The 20737-nt window shown below is 41.5% G+C and overlaps 1 protein-coding gene across 4 annotated transcripts in view, besides 2 other annotated features; it reads right to left on the reverse strand.

The window, feature by feature from the left end:
* Positions 1-16771, reverse strand: part of MKI67 (marker of proliferation Ki-67) — a 29765-nt gene extending 12994 nt beyond the window's left edge. Inside the window, exons 1-12 of one of the 4 annotated variants that reach the window (NM_002417.5) lie at positions 16447-16771; positions 15924-16104; positions 13439-13517; positions 13229-13344; positions 9601-9667; positions 6839-6884; positions 5276-6355; positions 3775-3950; positions 2481-2793; positions 2275-2393; positions 1993-2164; positions 726-881 (exon numbers count right to left, since the gene is read on the reverse strand). In NM_002417.5, coding sequence (NP_002408.3) covers positions 726-881; positions 1993-2164; positions 2275-2393; positions 2481-2793; positions 3775-3950; positions 5276-6355; positions 6839-6884; positions 9601-9667; positions 13229-13344; positions 13439-13517; positions 15924-16015 — 2416 coding nt within the window. In that variant the 5' untranslated portion in view covers positions 16016-16104; positions 16447-16771. Of the gene's footprint in view, positions 1-200; positions 882-1992; positions 2165-2274; positions 2394-2480; positions 2794-3774; positions 3951-5275; positions 6356-6838; positions 6885-9600; positions 9668-13228; positions 13345-13438; positions 13518-15923; positions 16105-16446 lie in introns of those variants that run through there. The other 3 variants (NM_001145966.2, XM_011539818.3, XM_006717864.4) reach the window with 3 other exon arrangements.
* Positions 16551-16920: a silencer, noted in NCBI's record as "silent region_2932". NCBI's record gives its function as "represses an Ori minimal core promoter by ATAC-STARR-seq in GM12878 lymphoblastoid cells {active_cell/tissue: GM12878}" and the evidence as "EXISTENCE:reporter gene assay evidence [ECO:0000049][PMID:35858748]".
* Positions 17031-17260: an enhancer, noted in NCBI's record as "active region_4201". NCBI's record gives its function as "activates an Ori minimal core promoter by ATAC-STARR-seq in GM12878 lymphoblastoid cells {active_cell/tissue: GM12878}" and the evidence as "EXISTENCE:reporter gene assay evidence [ECO:0000049][PMID:35858748]".

Here is a 20737-nt window from a genome sequence, read left to right on the forward strand (position 1 = left end):
ATGATCATAGAAGGTAAAAATACTGCTTCAGAAGGTTCCTCCAAAGGTTGCCATGCCCTGTGTCATTGACGTAAATATAGGCATTTTTTCCTTCAAACATTAGAAACAAACAGCTGTTTCTTGCCTTAAATCGCCAATAAAATAACATGGATTATCCTTATGTGGTTAGGGTCCATATTACACAGGAAATATTTACCTACCGCAAACATCTTCAGGGTAGCAAGCTGTTCCCTCTGTGACAGGAATACAGTGACCAGTGCCAAATGAGAGATTAGACAGATTCTCATCTCCCATCTCACACTTACCCCGGGCCTGCTCCCACCTAAAAGGTTAGCAGGAATAATTGCACAGTATACAAACTGTTATCTTTCTGTTTTGTAATTGGCAGTAATTTTGAATATGAGTAATTTATATGTAAATATGGTGAGACACCATTGTATTTTTTTGCTATGTCACCCTGGTTACTTACAATAAAGAAGCCAAAAGTGTACACAGGTCATTTACACACATTAACGGAGTCTTTCTTTCTATATAAGTCAATGAATGCCAATGTTAGTTCAACTGCTGATTGAAATCTCCCTTTCAATTAGAACAGAGAAGACGGAAATGGTATTTTGTGCCAGGAACATTTGTTTTAGAGAAGTAATATCATACTGCTTGTAAAAAAATAATACTGTATGTTCCTATCCCAAAACATCACAGTGTTAGGAAACAAGGAAACCAACCAAAACTCTCTGAGGTGGGGAGCAGAGGTTCTTCTCCTGAATCAGTTCCTTGAAACTGTTTTCCAAGCAAATTCTCTGAATTTGAAATAGCGATGTGACATGTGCTTGTCAACTGCGGTTGCTCCTTCACTGGGGTCTTGAACATTTCAGCTATTCCTGTTAAATGAAAATATTTGAAAAGTGATTGACATATTGCTAACATGCAGACAACCATCCCAGCCCTCACATGTAACGTGCAAATGGTGGGAAATAACAGTAGATTCCTCCCTTGAAATCCTGGTACATAGGCCTCATAAAAAGAGTGATTCCATTAATAATGTACTCATTTTGTAAAAAAGAGAGCACAGAGAAGATATGTTATGCTCTTCGCTTTGCTTTTCTTGGAAAGGAAACAAATGAAGTTAGCTGACCTCTGGGTCCTCCTAACAAGACCCCACACGTGAGCTCTGGAGCACGGAGGCTGGTGACGGGCTCCTGAGACCCATAGGCCTCCCTGCTAGGATCTAGAGGCCAAATGCCTTCATGCTTCTCAAAGTCTTGGGTGCTCAGTTCTAGATTTTAAGTACAAATAACACGTACCCACATTTTAGAAAATGACAAAGAGCTGCCCATTTTTAGTACTGTCAAGTAATAATATATATTTTTGAAAATCTAATATCATTATCATTCTGTTTGGAATGATAGGAGGCCTCAGCCTCCCAAAGTGTTGGGATTACAGGCGTGAGCCACTGCGCCGGCCATCCCCACTTTAAATTACACAAGTCAGGCCACAATTTACTGAGAGTGGGAATTGAATGGAAATATTTCTTCAACAATCGTTTATGGGAATCTTCTCATAGGGCTTTCTTTCAAGAAAGTTAAGCTACCTAGAAAGTCAATCCTGAAGAAGCAAAATGTTGCTCAACAACAACTGGCCCACACCTGGGATAAACTATTATTGTACCTGCAGATTAACAAGTTAACTCTCTTCACTGTAAAGCACCTTCCAGCTTTCTATGTATACGCTGCTCTCCAGGGTAAAGACATGCATTTGACATTTCCACACCTATTTCATGCAGGACATGTGATCCCAAAAATTAGCAGAGACTTGTCTTTGCAAGCCAAAACAGCTTTATCTTCCCTGAACACTAAGACCCCAGAAGGGTGATTGAGTCGTTTATTTTATAATCTCTTTCACAGCAGATAAACAAAGTTAGCAAAACAAACATTAACACAGTAAAAAACAGTAGAGTCAAAAGATTTATAAGATCTAAGACTACGTTTTTACCTGAAAGATCTTCCTTAAAGTCCATTTTTTGGTTGGAAATGAAGTTGTTGAGCACTCTGTAGGGTCGAGCAGGCACATGTACTTTTTCAGTATGAGCTTTCCCTATTATTATGGTACAAGGAGAGTTTGCGTGGCCTGTACTAAATTGACTGTGAACTTCGCCCACAGGCTTCTGTAGAAAACAGGAAGGAGGTAAACAGGACATTAAAGCATAAATCCACACTGAATGCAAGCTTCGATGACACCGGTATGTGTAAAGCAGCCATTCAGTGAGGCCCCTACCTTTGGAGTAGCAGGTCTTCTTTGCCTTTTGTTCATTGACCTTTGAGGACCATGTTTTATGACTTTAGTTTGTGTTTGTTTTGCACCAAGTTTTACTACATCTGCCCATGATTTTGCAACTGTCAAAGGGAAAAGACGAAACTTTTCAAAAATTAGCATTCATGAAAAAATTCACCTTAATATATGTATTCTAATGTCAGACTAACCAATCAGATTTGCTTCCGAAGCACCACTTCTTCTTTTGGAACATATCATCTGTAAAATATCATGTTGACTTCGGCTGATAGACACTCTCTTTGAAGGCAGGTTGCCACTCTTTCTCCCTCCTCTCTTAGGAACCTCTGTCTGAGATTTGCTGCTGGAAGCAGGGGCTGTTTTGCAGGACCTACGGCGTTGATCACTGGCAACTGGAGTTTTCCTAGGACTAGGAGCTGGAGGGCTTATAACCAAGCTTTGTGCCTTCACTTCCACATGGATTTCTGAACCTGACTCTTGTTTTCCTGATGGTTGAGGCTGTTCCTGACAAGACAAAATTGTTTACAAGAAGCCTTAACAAGGATCTAACATCTCTGGAATGACTGATAAAAACCTATTCAGTTAAGAATTTCAGCTGTTTAAATCTTGAAGCATCAAATGCTTAAGCCACTGTCTTTGAAGACTATGGTAGAGGTGAGACTGTCTCAGTCATTTAAGGAAAAGGAAAGAGAAGCAAGCCAAGTCTGAAGTGAGGTCATTTCAGGTAAAAAGGTGGAAGGAACATCCTGATCAGTGAAAGACAAGCAGGGTCTGATCTCAGTCCCAGTAAATACCAGCTGTGAGCACCCAGCCCCCGGCAGTCCACATGGAGGGAGGACTGCTTGCCCCTGGGAGCCAGTGTAAAATGGAAAGGGAGCCAGACATCACTTTCCACTCCTGCTGGGAAGAGAAGGAAAGAAAGACCGCCCAGGCCCTATTACAAAGGTTATGAGCTATAGGGCCATGACTTCCCAGAGGTGTGAAACCCAGGAAGGACAACACAGCAAAGGAACAGGCAAGCAAATATTCTAAAGAGCTGAAGGTGTAAAAGGAAGATGTGCCATTGATTTTCCTTCACACCAGGTAAATGCCTTAACTATAGCCTTGTAACTCTAAAAGAAAATAAAACAATCCTTATGGGTCGACGTGGTAATGTATCCAGAATCTTTGTAATTGGCTATTCTGACGGTGCCTGCAGGTGATTACGCAGTGCTGTAAGCGTGGGTGTCTGGGAACTTCTGCACGAAAAGGACAACATCAAGGACTCCCCCGACTCGGTCGCATCAGCACCACGGTCAGGGACCCAGGGGCTCCTTTGCTGGTGCCCACATCAATGAGCTTTCATTCGTCTTTTTAAAAACTTGTTTCTTTAATAAATAAATAAAGGTCTTCATCATAATTCTACTTGTGTCAGTATTTGGAAAGGAATAGGTACCCGGTGTGTGAGCCACTGGGCGTGAATGGGATGCTGCTTGTTCAACTCACCTTGATGATTTTCTTCAGGACAGGTGGAGTGTGCATTACCAGAGACTTTCTTTTGGTTGGGGCTTCTCCCCTTTTGAGAGGCGTATTAGGAGGCAAGTTTTCATCAAATAGTTCAGGTCTTAGGTGCCCACCAAAGGACACACGCCTTCTTTTCAAAGGTATTCCCTCACTCTCATCTAAAGTAACGGATACAAATGTGGAAAGAGCAATGAAAAAACATACCAAGACTAGTGATTTATTTCACGTTAGCATTAAAGACAAACCAAGTGAAAAGTCATCGAAACACAGTACCTACAGCACGCCTCTATTCTTGCAATCCTGGTGAAGCTAAGCTACTAAGAGTTCCTAAAGGATTGCGGGAGTGGCCACTAAGACGTCAAGTTGCCACTGGACAGTACAGAGGCTTTCTTTAAAACATTGAAACATTATGTGTGGACATAGAAAGGAGGAGTCTGCAGCAGCAGATTTCACCTTAGAGTAGGGGGACGACAGCCAGAGAACTCTCTAAAGACATGCACTTGGGTCTCAGCCTGAGCCACCCAGTGACCAGAATGCATGAGCTGTAAAAACTCCTCCAGGTGGTTCTGAGTCAATTCACAGGAGCCCAGTCCCGGCCACACATTTTCCTGAGCCACCAGTTAATGTAAATCCCTTGCCTAAGTGATGCTTCCCCACTAGGAAGCTTGGTGGAATACTGAGACTGATGTTACAAACCTTATTTTATCGACAGCCTCATGCCCCACCGCTATAGGCCACCTGCAGAAACACAGCCTGGAGTACGAATACTGCGTCTGTGGCCCAGACAACTTTTCTTCTAATAGCCAGTCCCTAGGAGTGTAGGAAGCTCCCGAGGAGCTACCACACCTGCTATAAAGGTCCTACCTCTGCCACTTCCTGACTGGCCTTGGGTTGTGCGTTTCCTCATGTGTGACATAGCTCTAAAAAGACAACCTAGCCACGGGCACTGCTATTGCACCAAGGATCAAGTGTTCATGTGGCATATGGACTCATGGGTACAGTCCAGTGTTTACAGCAAATTGTTTGTAGGACACTCTGAAAACAGAGTATCAACACCTGAGAACTACCGCTATGTTTAATGATTACCAGTGATTTATTCCACATGACCAAACTCATATGATACAGTTGATTGTAGTTCAGAATTAAACTCCATGTGAAAAGCAATTATGATTATTCTCTTTTCTATTTTGTGATAGATGGAGGAGAATCAAATATTTTTGGGGCCACCCTATCTCCTTCAATAACCCCTGCTTCATGATTGCCTGACAACTTCCATCTCTTCTGTCATTCCTTGTTACAATTACCTAGGCCTTCAGTATTCATCTATTAGCGAAAACAGCGTGCGTGTCTGTCTTATCCCTGTGCCTTATGTGCTTACATTCTCTTCCACAAAGCTAATCACTACTGAAAGAATGAAGGTCTCACAGCTACATAGAAGGTGTTCATCTTTTAGAAAAATAAATTTACAATTAAATAAACTTACTAATGGAATCACCAAAGTTGTTGATATCAACTGAACTAAGACCAGGTAACCCAGAGCACATCTGTCCAGCTGTAGTGCCCAATTTCTCAGGCTTGCTGAGGGAATCCTTTTGGATCTTCCTCTCAACTTGAGTGAGCCACAGAGTTAAAAATGGCTCATTGTGAATTTCAGTTTCCGTAGGCAGAACTTCCACATCTGTAGGAATACTTCCTCTGGTTTTGGAAGAGAGATTTTCTGGCTTAGTGGCAGAGTCAGCTGCATCTTCAACTTTAGCTGGTGTTCGATTTCTAGTTGAAAGCTTCCTGGGAGTAAGAGTTTTATCACCAGCCTTGAAGCCTTCACTTTTACCCAGATTCACAGATTCTCTTCTACCAGTAGTATACAGGTCTTTGTTCTTATGTTTTTGTGGAGAATTTTGTTGCTGTGAATATTGTACAGGGGTCTTCATTTTAGCCGGCTCATAGAGAGGAAAGCTGGCGCCCACAGCCTTGCTGGGAGTCTGAACAGACTCCACGTCTCTTCCCTTCCCCTTGTTCTGGTCAAGCTCTTGTTCAGGTGAAGCAGGCTCTGCCACAGCGTGGCCGCTCCCACCAGATTTTGGTCTTGACTTACGCGAGACCAACAGTTGGGTCTCCCCCTGTAAACCATCAGCACTTTCTTTCTCTGTTGCGTAATCAGTTTGTAATCCAGATTTTCTACAATACTGTAGGACATTTTCTTTTTGTGATTTTACATCCAACTCTTTCTTCACTGACTCATAAAGCTTCCAAAAGGGAGATTCATTTTTTTTGCTATTGTCAAGACATTGTGTAGTGGGAACAGACTTCAATTCTCCATAACGGCTCACTAATTTAACGCTGGAAATTTCTTTAAAATCCCCAGAAATGGGATCAGCTGCATTTCTGCCATTACGTCCAGCATGTTCTGAGGAATGAACATTAGTTGTTCCCTGAGCAACACTGTCTTTTGAGTCATCTGCGGTACTGTCTTCTTTGACATTCTTGATATGTACCTGAGGATTTCCTGAAACTTTTCCTTCAGTGATTTTTGAATAGGCCTTGGAATCTTGAGCTTTCTCATCTTGGCAATGAATTATGAAATAAGAAACAGAAGTTCAGCATTTTCTCAATGATTAACATTTGTGGAATTCAATATTTTAATTGTTTCAGGTTGTCTTATAAGCTAGCTTTTACTTGGCCTACAAATTATTTAATGCCTAAAACTTGCAAGTCTTATGATACTAGTATTATGATACAAATATATAAATCATATCAGCTCCAATAACCAGTATGAAATAGCACATGCTATCTAACTACTGAGAACTGAGTTGACAGCTGAACAGGCAATTTTCTCATATCTAGAGTCTCTCCTAAGCATAGCATACCATCAGTCACCAAGGGAAAGTTAGGCATCTGTCTGTCGTTGACATGTTAAATGACACCTCCTCCATTTCTGACAGGCTAGACATTTAGCACTTGCATTCTTGTTGCCCCTTCTTTGCCAATATGCTTCGCAAAGACCTGATCTTTCAGGATTCTGGAACAAAACCCAACCACTACTCACCAGGGTCAGAAGAGAAGCTAGATCTTGAGACACGACGTGCTGGCTCCTGTAAGTTGGGAAAATAAGAACAGTTATTTGCAGGTCTTTCTAAATGATGACAGTCACAACAGTGAAAATATTATTTATTGTTTTCTGGCTGGGCATGATGGCTCATGCCTGTAATCCCAGCACTTTGGGAGGCCAAGGTGGGCGGATCACTTGAGGTCAGGAGTTTGAGAACAGCCTGGCCAACATGATGTAACCTCATCTCTACTGCAAATACAAACATTAGCTGGATGTGGTGGCAGGTGCCTGTAGTCCCAGCTACTCAGGTGGCCGAGGCAGGAGAATTGCTGGAACCCGGGAGGCAGAGGTTGCAGTGAGCAGAGATTGCACCACTGCACTCTAGCCTGGGCAATAAAGCGAGACTCTGTCTCAAAAAATAAAAATAAAAACAATAAAAAATTGTTTTCTTTACCAAACCACTCGTATATGACTTTTAAAGACTGTTTGAGAAATGAGCTCAAGTCAGTTGGGAGCTAGTGGTCAGGATAAAAGTACTTATTAGCTGACTCATTAAAAAATAGTGAGTGATTAATAGGAAACAAATTCGAGGCTTAAAATTACTAAAATCAAACCTCGGTGTGTTTTTATAACTTCCTTTAAAGATATTTCCCAACATCCTATTGCGGAAGAACCAAAGTCAATATTAAACATCACCTATACTGAAGATCTGTAACCCCCCACGAGCTCAGAACTACTGACTGCGTCATCAGTTTTCTCATAAATGGGCCATAGGACCTGTCGATGAACTGAGGCTCCACTTGGCATGTGCGCCCTCTTGGCTGGTGGATACTTAGGGTGGATCTGAGAGCCTAGATTCACCCTAGGTAAATTCATGGTACAGGCACACATGGTATATTCACAGATTCTGCAACCTCACAGCCTGGGAGCAGGCGCAGCGCCCCCACCTGGCTCCCCAGAGACAGCGCCCTAACTTTCCTTCATATGGAATTATTTCCGGAAGGGTGGAAGAACTAAAGAATAACATATATATATAACTTTTATAAAAGTCTGATGCCCCAAAGGAAGAAAAGCTTATCATCTGGATTATTAAGAAAATATCTAAAAAATATTAACAAAGGCAAAGAATCTAACTTCCTTAATCAATTTTAGGTTTCTTGATACGTAACACCTTGCTTCTAAAACTATCTATGTGAGGGATGGTTTTTTATTTCCAATCTGAAGTGGAACAAGAATCTTATGACTAAACAATATAAATGAACCACTAATAAAATTATGAATATGTAAAGTATATAATCTCACTTTTGTTGTACGATTACATTCAATAGCCACAAAATTGCTGTCGAATTGCTGTCATATTTACTACATACTCCATTTCAGTACTCACTATATCACAGACCAGTAACAGAACAAACAGTTCCTAGACTGCTGAGTGGCACATATCTAACCCACAGTTCAACTGGCTTTTTGGTTTATTTACTCCCATAGACTAGCAAGTTGCCTGGTGGCTACAGTGTGGGATGCCTCAGAAACTGGCTTCCAGCACGGGAACTGATGACCATCAGATTCAACATTAAGGCTGCTCCTCTAGGGAAGAAGGCAGTACTTAAATGGCAGAAATGGACTGGGCATGGTGGCTCAAGCCTGTAATCCCAGCACTTTGGGAGGCCCAGGTGGGTGGATCACGAGGTTAGGAGTTCAAGACCAGCCTGGTCAATATGGTGAAACCCTGTCTCTACTAAAAATACAAAAATTAGCCAGGCATGGTGGTGTGCACCTGTAGTCCCAGCTACTCGGGAGGCTGAGGCAGGAGAATTGCTTGAACCCAGGAGGCGGAGGTTGCAGTGAGCCAAGATCGCACCACTGCACTCCAGCCTGGGTGACGGAGTGAGACTCCGTCTCAGAAAAAAAAAAAAAAAAAAAGGCAGAAATGTTGAAATTCAAGAGTACCTACTGCTAATTTCAGGTGCACCTAAGATAACTCTCCTAAGCCAAGATATTCCAAGGAGCTCATCTGAAACTAGCTTTAGGAGCACTCTAAAATGTAGGAAAAATATGAATTCTCAGGGCTCATCCTAAGCCTAAATCCCACTAAATTTCCAAGCACATGCCGACAACTGTGTTTTAATAAGCTGTACAACTAAAATACCTCTTCCACACTGATATACTCAAACTATCTAAATTGCGAAGCACGTGTCGACAATTATGTTTTCATAAGCTGTACAATTGGAATACCTGTTCCACACTGATACACTCAAACTATAGGATTCTCTCACAAGACAAAGCACAGGATCCCTTTTCCTGTTTCATGGGTCGTCTATCTATCAAAATAGAGAAGCATCTTTGGCACTCATGATTTTCATAATGTGATTATTTCAGACACATAAAGACGGATGAGTACAATGACTGGGCGACAAAATGAGCCACCAGATAATGCAATTCCCAAATGTTAGCTCTACGTGTTGGGGTTATCCTAATCATGGGTTTGCAAAAAGCTCGCAACATGCTCTAATAGACTTTTTGGCTAAAAGTGTAAGACCAACTTAGTGCTCTGATTTTGAACAATAAAGAGGAAATATCATTTTAGATTATTTTAATACGTCTAAGTTCAACTCGTTTTTATACTTTAGTTACATTTTCCTACTATAACAGTAACCACCCTCTTTGTAACTGATTTCAAGTAAGAAATCATTAAAGCATACATAAATGATTTCATATCATCGAAACGAATCAGCCCAAACTTGGATATTTTCTATCACCTGTTCACGTATTTTTCTTGGAAATTCAGTTGACTTCCTTCCATTCTGAAGACTTTCATTTTCATACCTGCAGTTTATAGAACGACAAAGATCCTGATTAAAAATTTATACCCTGGGGCGGAAGTCTCCATATCCACTTAATGTCCAAGGATCAACGAACAAACTTTGGGTTTAGTTCAAGACATCACCTTATACAAAGAAATAAATTTAGAGTTAGAAAAGTGCTTTTACACTAAAAACTAGGATTAGTTGCATCGAGTTTGTTTTGAAATACCACTGTCAGAGGCTGGGGACCCAGATTAACTTCTGATCACTGACGAACAGCCCAGGTATGATTTGACAATATTACCAAGCACCTTCTATGACATAAGCTAATGCACATGAGAGCAAAGTCAAGTTTCTTCTAGTTTAAGTCCATGGAAATCATCGGATGGCTTGGAAGGCCAGCCAGGAAGCCTGTAGGTAACTGAATCTTTCTCACGTTGTGAAGTTACATACTTCAGGGTAAATAAAAAGCTACACTTACACTACAGGGTAACTACAAACCTATATTTTAGAACACTATGATCACTTCAGTTTCCCACACATTCAGTCTGTATCTGAACAAGACAGGTACATCTTAAGAAGATCACCTTTAGCAAGATACATAATTGTCCTGGCAAACCTCAGTGATCAAGTCATAGAAGCAATCCTTTATTTTGCATAATGAAAACTTTTGGCCTCAGTGAAATGACCTGATTTGAATTTATAGGCAACCTAAGTAAGATCTGAAGCAGTCACACATCTGATATTATTTCTCATGGTAGAGAGTTTGGAATCAAGTCTCTCTTTCTAAGATTCACTTTCAAATCTTTGTTGGATGTCTTTAATCATCTGAATTTATCTCAATTTGGATAATATCTTGTTTTGAAAAATAGTTCAGCCCTCCAATAAACATCAAAAGCTTCCTACCTATAGGCCGGGCGCAGTGGCTCATGCCTGTAATCTCAGCATTTTGGGAGGCTGAAGCAGGTGGATCACTTGAGACCAAGAGTTCAAGACCAGCCTGGCCATCATGGTGAAACGCCGTCTCTACTAAAAATTGCAAAAATTAGCCGGGTGTTGTGGCGCGTGCCTGTAATCCCAGCTACTTGGTAGGCTGAGGCATGAGAATCACTTGAACCCGGGAGGCGGAGGTTGCAGTGAGCCAAGATCACACCACTGCACTCCAGCCTGGGTGACAGAGCAAGACTCTGTCTCAAAAACAAACAAACAAACAAACAAAAAGAAAAAGAAAAAAAGAAAAACTTCCTACATAGAAGTCTGTATTCAATAAAAATACTCTTTAAAAATGAAGGCAAACTTCCCAGAAGCACAGTAAAAGAAATGACTAGGGAATTTAAGTGGTGCATTAAAAAACAGCTAATACAAATGAAGACAATAACAGAGATTCATTTAGCAGAATGGATTTTTAAATGACCCAACTAATACGTTGTCTACAAGAGACGCAATTTTGATTCAAAGACACAATCTTTTAAAATAAAAGCATGGGAAAAGATATACCATGCAAACAGCAAGCAGAGGGGAACTGGAGTACTGTACTAACATGAGACAAAATCATCTCAGACAAAAGTTATTCATAGAGAAAAAGGACATTTTATATAAGGATCAATCCAGCAAGAAGATATTCCAGTTAAACACAAGAGGTCACCTGACAACAGGTTCCAAGAGACAACTTAAACCATAACAATTATGAAAAGTTAAAATTAAGGGGGTGGAAAAGTTATACTACACAAGCACTCATCAAAAGGAAATTAGTTTAACCATACTCATCATCCAAAGGAAACATTAAGCAGAAAAGAAAGCACTACTAAAAACAGAGGACATCTCTAAATGACAGAGTTCCATGCACCAAGACATCATTCTAAGTTTGTACACCATAGTACAGCCTCAAAATATACAAAGCAAAAACTGATAGAGATAAAAACAAATCAATCAATCAATCCTCAGTAGGTGATTTGAACATATCTCTTAGAATAATAGTAGGGGAAAATTTACTAAGATTATAGATTTGAATCTAACGGGAGTGTGTGTATCTGTATATGTGTATATATATTACATATTATATATGTATATATTATATATTATATAATATAAATATATTGTATATATATTGTATATGTATTATATATACCATATAGTATATACTGTATACAGTATATACTATATGGTATATATAATATATATTATTATATTATATATTACTATATAACATATAGTATATACTATATAATATTATATATTATATTATAATTATATATGATTATATATAATATATTATAATTATATATTATATAAGTGATATATATAATAATTATATATTACATATATATGAGACACTGTAGAATACAGTTTTCAATTACACAAGGCAGATTAGTAAGATAATTAGCCATATCTGCTCATAAAGCAAACCTTGACACATTTCAAAGACTAGACATTAGTCAAATGTCCATCAAGAATGAATGAATTCTGTATAGTTATGTATATTATTGTATATATTAAACATTTTTTTTTCAGTGAAATACTTATGCCATGAGAAGGAACAAACTACAGAGATGTCCAACATGCTATGAATCTCACACACAGAAAAGCACAAGCCAGGCACAAATGTATACATTCTTGTATCACTGTTAAGGACTTTTATAAGAACAGACAAAACTATCGTGTTCAGAGATCCATGCTTAGGTAGTGAAACTCGAGACGTTTATGATATCCTAAAAGCCAAAACGGTGGTTTACTTGCTGAGGGAATGAAGTAGTGATTAGACAACAGCATTTTTAAAAAGCTTCTGGAAATGTTCTATATGAGCTGAGGATGTATTAGTCTGCTAGGGCCACCATAATAAAGTCCCACAGACTGAATGCCTTGAAAAACAGACATGCCCTTCTCAGTGCTGGAGGCTGGAAGTCCAAGAGCAAGGTGTCAGCTGGATTGGATTTCTCTGTGCCTCTCTCCTTGACTTGAAGATGGCTGCCTTCTTGCTGCCTCTTCTCATGGGCTTTCCTCTGTGCACGTGTTCCCTAATCTCCACTTATAATGACACCAATCATCAGATTAGGGCCCATACTAATAGCTCAAAAAGCCTTCATTGCCTTTTTAAATGCCCTCTTTCCAAATACAGTTACATCCTAAGGTACGAGGGGTTAGGAATTCAAAATATGAATTTCGGGAGAGCACAAATCAGTCCATAATAGGTGGTGATCAAAAGGGTGTTCACATGATAAATTGACCTGTCCATCTTGTTTTGTACCTTTTTCTCTGTGTATATTTTGCTTTAAAATAAAAAAGAATAGAAAAATCTCATGCAGTTTCAAAACACTTGGAAGAAAATAACAAACTCCTTTAGGACAAGGTCAACCTCCCTCTGCATAATTATTTGCACCCAAATCCTTGAATTCCATCACATTTTGTCCCAATTAGTCATCTTCCTAGATCCATATCCTTTTAAATTAAGATTAGTGTTGAGAATGAAAACCTGAAATACTTTGACATCCATGAACATTAAAGAAGAATGACAGTTGACTTTGACACTAGTTTATGGTTAATCAGAAGATGACATTTACTGTTAGACCAATCAGCTTTTACCTACCTGAAGGAACGATCAATAATAGTTATTACATCTCCATGTTTTAGCCGTACAGGCTCATCAATAACAGACCCATTTACTTGTGTTGGATTTGTGGAACTGAAATTATGTAATATTGCCTGCAAGTGAAAAGAAGGGGAAATATGTAACTAATGAACAGATTAAAAGTGAACTAAAAAGCTTTAAAAGTAGATCTTCAAAAAACCCACTCACCTCCTGCTCATGGATTTCAATTTTGCAATGTTGTTTTGACACAACAGGAAGCTGGATACGGATGTCACATTCAATACCCCTTCATGCAAAAGAAGAAGGTTTTTTTGGTTGCTGCAACTTTTTAAAAGATTACCTCAATTTCCCAAAATAAAACACAATTTGACTAGAATGTTTGATCTGTAAATATGACATAAAGGAGTAACAAACAAAATGGGCAATGTAAACGATCTTGCATTTTGCAAAGAACTTTTGGAAGTATTAAACATGTAACTATTAGATCTTTAAAACAGAGAGTATGTAAAAACAAGGGAAAACACTAGAACACAAATCGAATTACCTTTTATATGAAAAGCTATACTTAAAAGACACAAAGGAATACTTACATCAATTTTGGATAATGACTATTTTTAATACTCTGTGCTTTTTCAAAAACGTTTGTTTGTAATGTTAAATATGTTTAGAGGTTTAATCATCCCCAAATGTGCTTATTTGATGCTAGCACTTCTGTGCATCAGTTTCTTCATATACAATAAAGAAATTACATTAGAACCTACATCATGTGATGTTCAATTAAATGGTTGTACATGTCACTAATTTGCCTAGCACATAGTAAATGCTCATTATGGGTAAGCTTTTCATTGTTGTTTTAAAACTACACTGAATTTACTGACAGATTCAAGTCTCTAAACAATAAAAATACTAATTTGCAAGCGACACAAAAAAAAAATCTAAATTCAACTTGTTTTTCCACAGAAAGCTAACACCATGGCAAAGTAGCAGAAGAGACAATTCCTAAACCTATACAAACTAATAATCAGAAGAGTTTGTTAGTAGGTTCTTGGAGTCTTCAGTGTTCCTGTTCTAGCCTGTGATCTTAAAAATTTGAATAAACTATGCAATGGCCTGTCTGTTCTCCATCTGAACCTTTGGAGTCTAAGAATCTCTCTTCCTACCCAGGTCATGTGACCAAACACTTAGGAATTATTTCTAAATTATAAAATCTTGCATGAAGATATATTCAAGGAGTACTGTATAAAAAAGCAAAAGGACTGCCACTGGAGATGAAATGTTTATATTTTTCCTTTTCAAGAGAAAGGTATCTATGGAAAGTGAAAAGCTTCCTTAACCCCAATAAAATAATTTGATTTTAAGGTAACAGGACATCAGAGCAAAGGAAAGACTATCCCTTACAACTGAGAATTTGTTTGGCAGGAGGACGACTATAGATGGGTGTTTCTGAGCTTTGGCACTGTTGACATCTTGGGCCAGATGCTTCTGTATTGTGGGGGCTGCCCTGAGCCTGGTAGGATGCCCACCCTGACCTCTCCTCCGCGATGACAGCGCATGCCCCTGTCCTATATTGTGACATGGAAATTCAAATGAATCCTGGAAGGTTAGATGACCCTCCTGTGAGAACCACTGTTCTCAAGAGATTGCAAATCCATGGCTCCAGCCCATGTTTCTACTGACCCTTGCCAGAATGCTAGGTATTGATCACACCCCCTATGCCAGACACCATCCCTGGCCCTACACACGTGATTAGTAACAAGACAGTCTTTGCCTTTGGGGAGCTCAGCCTAGTGGGAGACAAACCCACAACTCACCCCTGAAGCTGTGGGGTTGGAAATACAAGTTTTCATGCAAGGCTTCCTCAGAGGTGACATTTCACCTGATGCCTGAATGATGGAAATCACACAAGCTTGAGGAAGGGGAGAACTTTCCCATTGTAAACTTCCAAGTGTGTAAGAAGTACCAAGGTGAACAAAGGCTTGGAATGCCTTAGGCGGGAGGAACAAGGTAGGGGATGGGGTTGGGAGGACAGGGTGAGGCCGGGATGGGGTTGGGAGGACAGGGTGAGGCCTGAATCCCGTGTGGTCTGGGAAATGACCACACGGGAAATGACCCCCCTTCTCAGGCCTCTAGTGGGACACATGTCAGAGGCTGATGGGGCACTGTCAGCAACTATACCTGTTATACAGGGACAGGGTTATTACCACCACCAAACAGGACAGCAATATAAGAGGAAACGTTCTCGAATTCCAGGCAGGAAGACTTTCTGTCCCATTTTCCTATTGCCACAAGGAGCCAAGAGACAAGTGTATGGCTTCCTTCCTTCATTCTCTGTGTCCCCAGTGGCCAGGGATGCCCACTGTGGAGGCACCCGGGGGCGCACAGTGTCTTCAGACGCCTGCCTGCAGCCAGTGACATATGAAGATCATCTACATCTTTCTTTACCGCAACATTAGCAAATCGATTTTTTTAATTGGCTTGATTTTTAAAACCACTTAAACATACAAACTAGCATCAAATTTATACTTACAAAACAAAAAAACACAACTATGTCAACTTAGTAACGAATGGGAGAAGCACCAAGGAAAAGTGACGGCAGGACCCAATCCTAGAGCGCGTTTCTGGACTTTATTCTGTGACTAAGGTATTTTCCTCTTTCTCAGCTAAAACGTCCGCGCGCGCCCGCGGGGCTCACCTTCCAAACAAGCAGGTGCTGAGGCTCAGGGGAAAGTGGGGACCGTCGACCCCGCTCCTTTTGATAGTAACCAGGCGTCTCGTGGGCCACATTTTCTAAACAGTAAGTTGAGTATAATCCGTAGGGGAAGGCCAGGTATAATCCGTAGGGGAAGGCCAGAAGCAAATTTACAACTCTTCCACTGCAAAAGAGGTGCGAGTTACTCTGATAGCAAAGGAGCTAAGAAGGGCCCCGTGCCCAATTCACCTATCCCCGGCCACAGAAGCGCACACCGCAGCTAGCTAGCGGGGACCCCAGGACGATCCGACCGCAGCCCCCGGCGCCCCAAAGTCCGGCAGCTGGGGTGTTGTCGCCAGCGCCTGCGCCTCCTGGGAGCTTCCACCGAGACGCCCTCGCCAGAGCCCAGGAGGAGTCGGGCCCAGGCCGCGCGTCTGTCCCCTGCCCGTCCCCGCAGAGCTCGGGGGGTCCCCGCGGCTCAGCCCTCGACCCCGGACAGCTCCCAGGAGTCCCGGCCGCAGCTCACCTGGGACGATCCGGCCCGCAAGGCCACTTGTCGAACCACCGCTCGTCAAGTCGCACCCAAAGTCCGCCGCAGGAGGAGCCGGCGCCGCGCTCACCTCCGCCCGGTAAGCTGCGCCCGCCACGCTCCGCACACACCGGGCCGCAGCCCGCGGGGTCGCGTTCGCTGCACCCCGGCCTGCAGTCCCCGCTGCTCCCGCCGCCGCCTCTGACGGGGACCCGGTGGCCCTACAGGCTACGTCCCCGGGCGCCCGGCTCTAGCGGCTCCCACCGAGTCGAGTCCTCCCGCCCGCCCGCCCGCCCGCAGCGTCAGCCCTCCACTTCCTTCTTCCAGCCCGGCGCGCCCGCCCAATTCAAACGAAAACGAAGATTCAAATTCTGGCGCTAAGCGCTGCGATTGAACGGGAAAGCGCGGCATGGGACCAATAGGAAGGGAGCGCAGGGCGTGGGCGGGGAGGGGGCGGGGAAACCGGGCTCGCGGGGCGGGGCTGGCGTGTCCGCGGGCGAGCCACTCACGCATCCGGAGGAAAATACCTGGGTGCATCCCCGGCGAGGGCGGCTGGCGGAGGGCAGAGGTGGAACACGCTCCCACCGAGATAACCCGTCCTGCTATCCTTTTCTTAAAGGACCAAACATCTGGGACACTATAACATTACTCATTGCCAGAAGATTTAAAACTGCTAAAAATTAAAAACAGGCGGGACGCGGTGGCTCACGCCGGTAATCCCCGCACTTTGGGAAGCTGAAGCAGGAAGATCCCTTGAGCCCGGGAGTTCAGAACCAGCCTGGGCCACCTGGAGAGAACCCATCTCTACAAAAAATTCGCCAGGCGTGGTGGCGCCCCTGTAGTTCTAGCTACTGGGACAGCTGAGGTGGGAGGATCGCTTGAGCCGGGGCGGTCGAGGCTGCAGTGAGCTGAGATCGCGCCACTGCACTCCAGCCTGGGCGACAGAGCAAAGCCCTGTCTCAAAAAAAAAAAAAAAAAAAAAAAAAAAATCGAAACCTTCCTCTTCAGTGCATACATCTTACCAAACACAAAAACAACCAATTATATAAAGTAGTTTGGTGTGTCTTTTCCTGCTATACGTGTATTCTCTTTTTCAAAAGCACAGAAAAAAAGGTCATAACATACACAACACGATTCTATACTTTGTGCTCTCTGCTTTTAAATATCCTGAGGCTATCTCCACTGAACACATTCTCGCTTTTACTCTCTGATGGCTGCAGAGCACTGGGCTTCGGGAAACCATAATTTACTTAATCATTACTATTGCCACATACTTAGGTTTACAATGTTTTGTTATTAGAAAACATTCTTCAATTGAAATGGCTTGTGCATGCCAAGATGGGTGAATCCTAAAATAATTCTACACAGGATTCTATCGGGGTCTGCTTCAGTTGCGCTGGTGGCCATGTGGGCTCAGTAGGCCACCTGGGGTGAAGTGAATGGAGCCTAAACACGCTTTTGGTGACAACGGCCTCTCTGCCCCATCTCACCTCCTCCAGCTCCCCAGCAACCCTTGGAGCTTGGCTCCCTTGATCAGGGAGGCCTCGATGCAGGGGACCCCTGAGGACTTCCTATTCCTTTCAGAGAGTCCATAAGGTCAAAACCATTTATCTAATGACCCTCTGTGTTACTTGCCCTTCTCATTCTCATGCTCCCAAGAGTGTGGGGTGTGGTTCTGCAAATGCAGAAGCAGTGAGGAGACTCCCACTGTCTCCGTTTCAACCAGGTATTACAGAGATTTGCAAAAATGTGAACTAAAGCGCTGTTTTCATTTTGTTGTTTTTTTTCCATAAAAATAAGTTATTGGTGTTAGCATGAAATAGGTGCATCACTATCTTAAAATGAATCAATAAATGAATATTTTTAAATTCCTTAGCCTTAACTTAAAATATATAAATATAGCTAGATATAACCCATCCACATTAACAAAAATTCCTGGTGGTTCTCAATAATTCTTAAGAGTGTAAAGGGACCACAAGATTGAAAAGACTGAGCCCTCTGCTCTAGAGCAACTACAAAGATATCAGCTGCTGATGGAAATAGAGAAACTGGGAAAGCAACATAAAAGCACAGGACAGCAACTCTAAATTGTATGGGCCAAGTCTGACGTAGAAAAATTCAGTGCGGGGATACTATTATATAAACGTTTTAGGGGGCATGAGTTTCCATGTTTTCCCCCATTAAACGATCAAACAAAGCCCACCACTGCATAACCCCATAAAACACAACTTTTCTCATCCTAATTACTGCTTGTTTCCAGAGACAGTTCTTCCACCCTCATGGATGCAGCCTAATTAGAACTAGAAGGTGCTAGGCCAGGCGCAGGGGCTCATGCTTGTAATCCCAGCACTTTGGGAGGCCAAGGTGGGTGGATCATGAGGTCAGGAATTCAAGACCAGACTGACCAATATGGTGAAACCCCATCTCTACTAAAAATACAAAAATTAGTCGGGTGTAGTGGCACACGCCTGTAGTCCCAGCTACTCGGAAGGCTGAGGCAGGAGAATCACTTGAACCCGGGAGGCAGTGGTTGCAGTAAGCCAAGGTCACGCCACTGCGCTTCAGCCTGGGCAACAGAGCGAGACTCCATCAAAAAAAAAAAATAGAAAAGAGAGAGAGACAGAAAGAAAGAACGAAGGAAAGAAAGAAAGAAAAAGAAAGAAAGAAAGAGAGAGAGAAGAAAAAGAGAGGAGAAAAAGAAAGAAAGAGAGAAGAAAAAGGAAGAAAGAAAGAAAAACATTTTGAGTTACTTCTTTGAAACATTTTGAGTTACTTCTTTTCTGTTGTTGCTGTTGTTGTTTTTCTTTTTTGAGATGAAGTCTCACTCTGTCCCCCGGGCTGGAGTGCAGTGGTGCAATCTCTGCTTACTGCAACCTCCGCCTCCCAGGTTCAAGCGATTCTCCTGCCTCAGCCTCCCAAGTAGCTGGGATTACAGGTGTCTGCTGCTAAGCCCAGCTATTTTTTTTTTTTGTATTTTTAGTGGAGATGGGGTTTCACTTTTTTTTTTTTGAGACTGAGTCTCACTCTGTCACCCAGGCTGGAGTGCAGTGGCACAGTCTTGGCTCACTGCAACCTCTGGCTCCTGAGTTCAAGCAATTCTCCTGCCTCGGCCCCCTGAGTAGCTAGGACTACAGGTGTGAGCCACCACGCACAGTTTATATATATATATATATTATGTGTGTGTGTATATATATGTATGTGTGTGTGTGTGTGTGTGTATATATATAGTATACTGTCGCTATATATATGTATATATGTATATATATGTGTGTATATATATAGTATACTGTCTCTATATATAGTATATAGTATGTGTGTATATATATAGTATACTGTATATATAGTAATTATATATAGTATATATACTATATATAACAATTATATATAGAGTATATATACTATATATAATTAGTATATATATTACTATATATATATATATATATATAGTAATTTTAGTAGAATCAGGTTTTCACATGTTGGCCAGCTGGTCTCGAACGCCTGACCTCAAGCAATCCGTCCGCCTCGGCCTCCCAAAGTGCTGGGTTTACAGGCGTGAACCACCGTGCCCAGACTTCTTCCTGGCTTTTAATCTGGTCTCTTGTGGGGAGGTTGCCCACACTTTTCTTCCCAACTTTCTTCTCTGTTACGTAAGTCAGGGACAATGTATAGTTCCTTCCAGACTTCCGTATTCTACTTTCATTGATCTTGGACCTACAAGTCGGTTTTGTAGCTCCATTTTTGGAGTTTTATTTTTTTCATGATCTTCTTTCCATTTTCATCTCCTTTAAATAGTTTCTACTAATATAGGAAAACTACGGATGTATTGTTCTTTATTGGTTATGTTTCTTGTTCTTGGACACAAAGGCATTCCCTAGGGAAATCAGAAGACATCTACAAAATTCCAATAATGATTGAAACAAATCTCAAAATTCAACTAAAAGTAAACTCAAAAAGAAATGCATTTAAAAATATTAGGCTGATTAATTTTTTAAGATGTCAGTAATCTAAGATATCCAATATGATGCTTTGCCAATCTATGAACAAGAAAAGTCTGATTATAACAGCTTACATTATAGCAAAATGCCCCATTACACAGGCATCAAATGAATTTCTTATCACTTAGTCATCTCTGCTAAAACAAAACAAAACTCTTCATGACTGGACTTTCGTCATACTTCTCTCCACACACTAGTAACCTCTCTAACAACTCCAACAATTATGTTGACTGCAGAATACACATTCCCTGTATGTACTGCTCTGATTGTTTTCCTATTTGTACCCAATGCTC

Source organism: Homo sapiens, chromosome 10, assembly GCF_000001405.40.
Source record: "Homo sapiens chromosome 10, GRCh38.p14 Primary Assembly".
Lineage (NCBI taxonomy): Eukaryota > Metazoa > Chordata > Mammalia > Primates > Hominidae > Homo > Homo sapiens.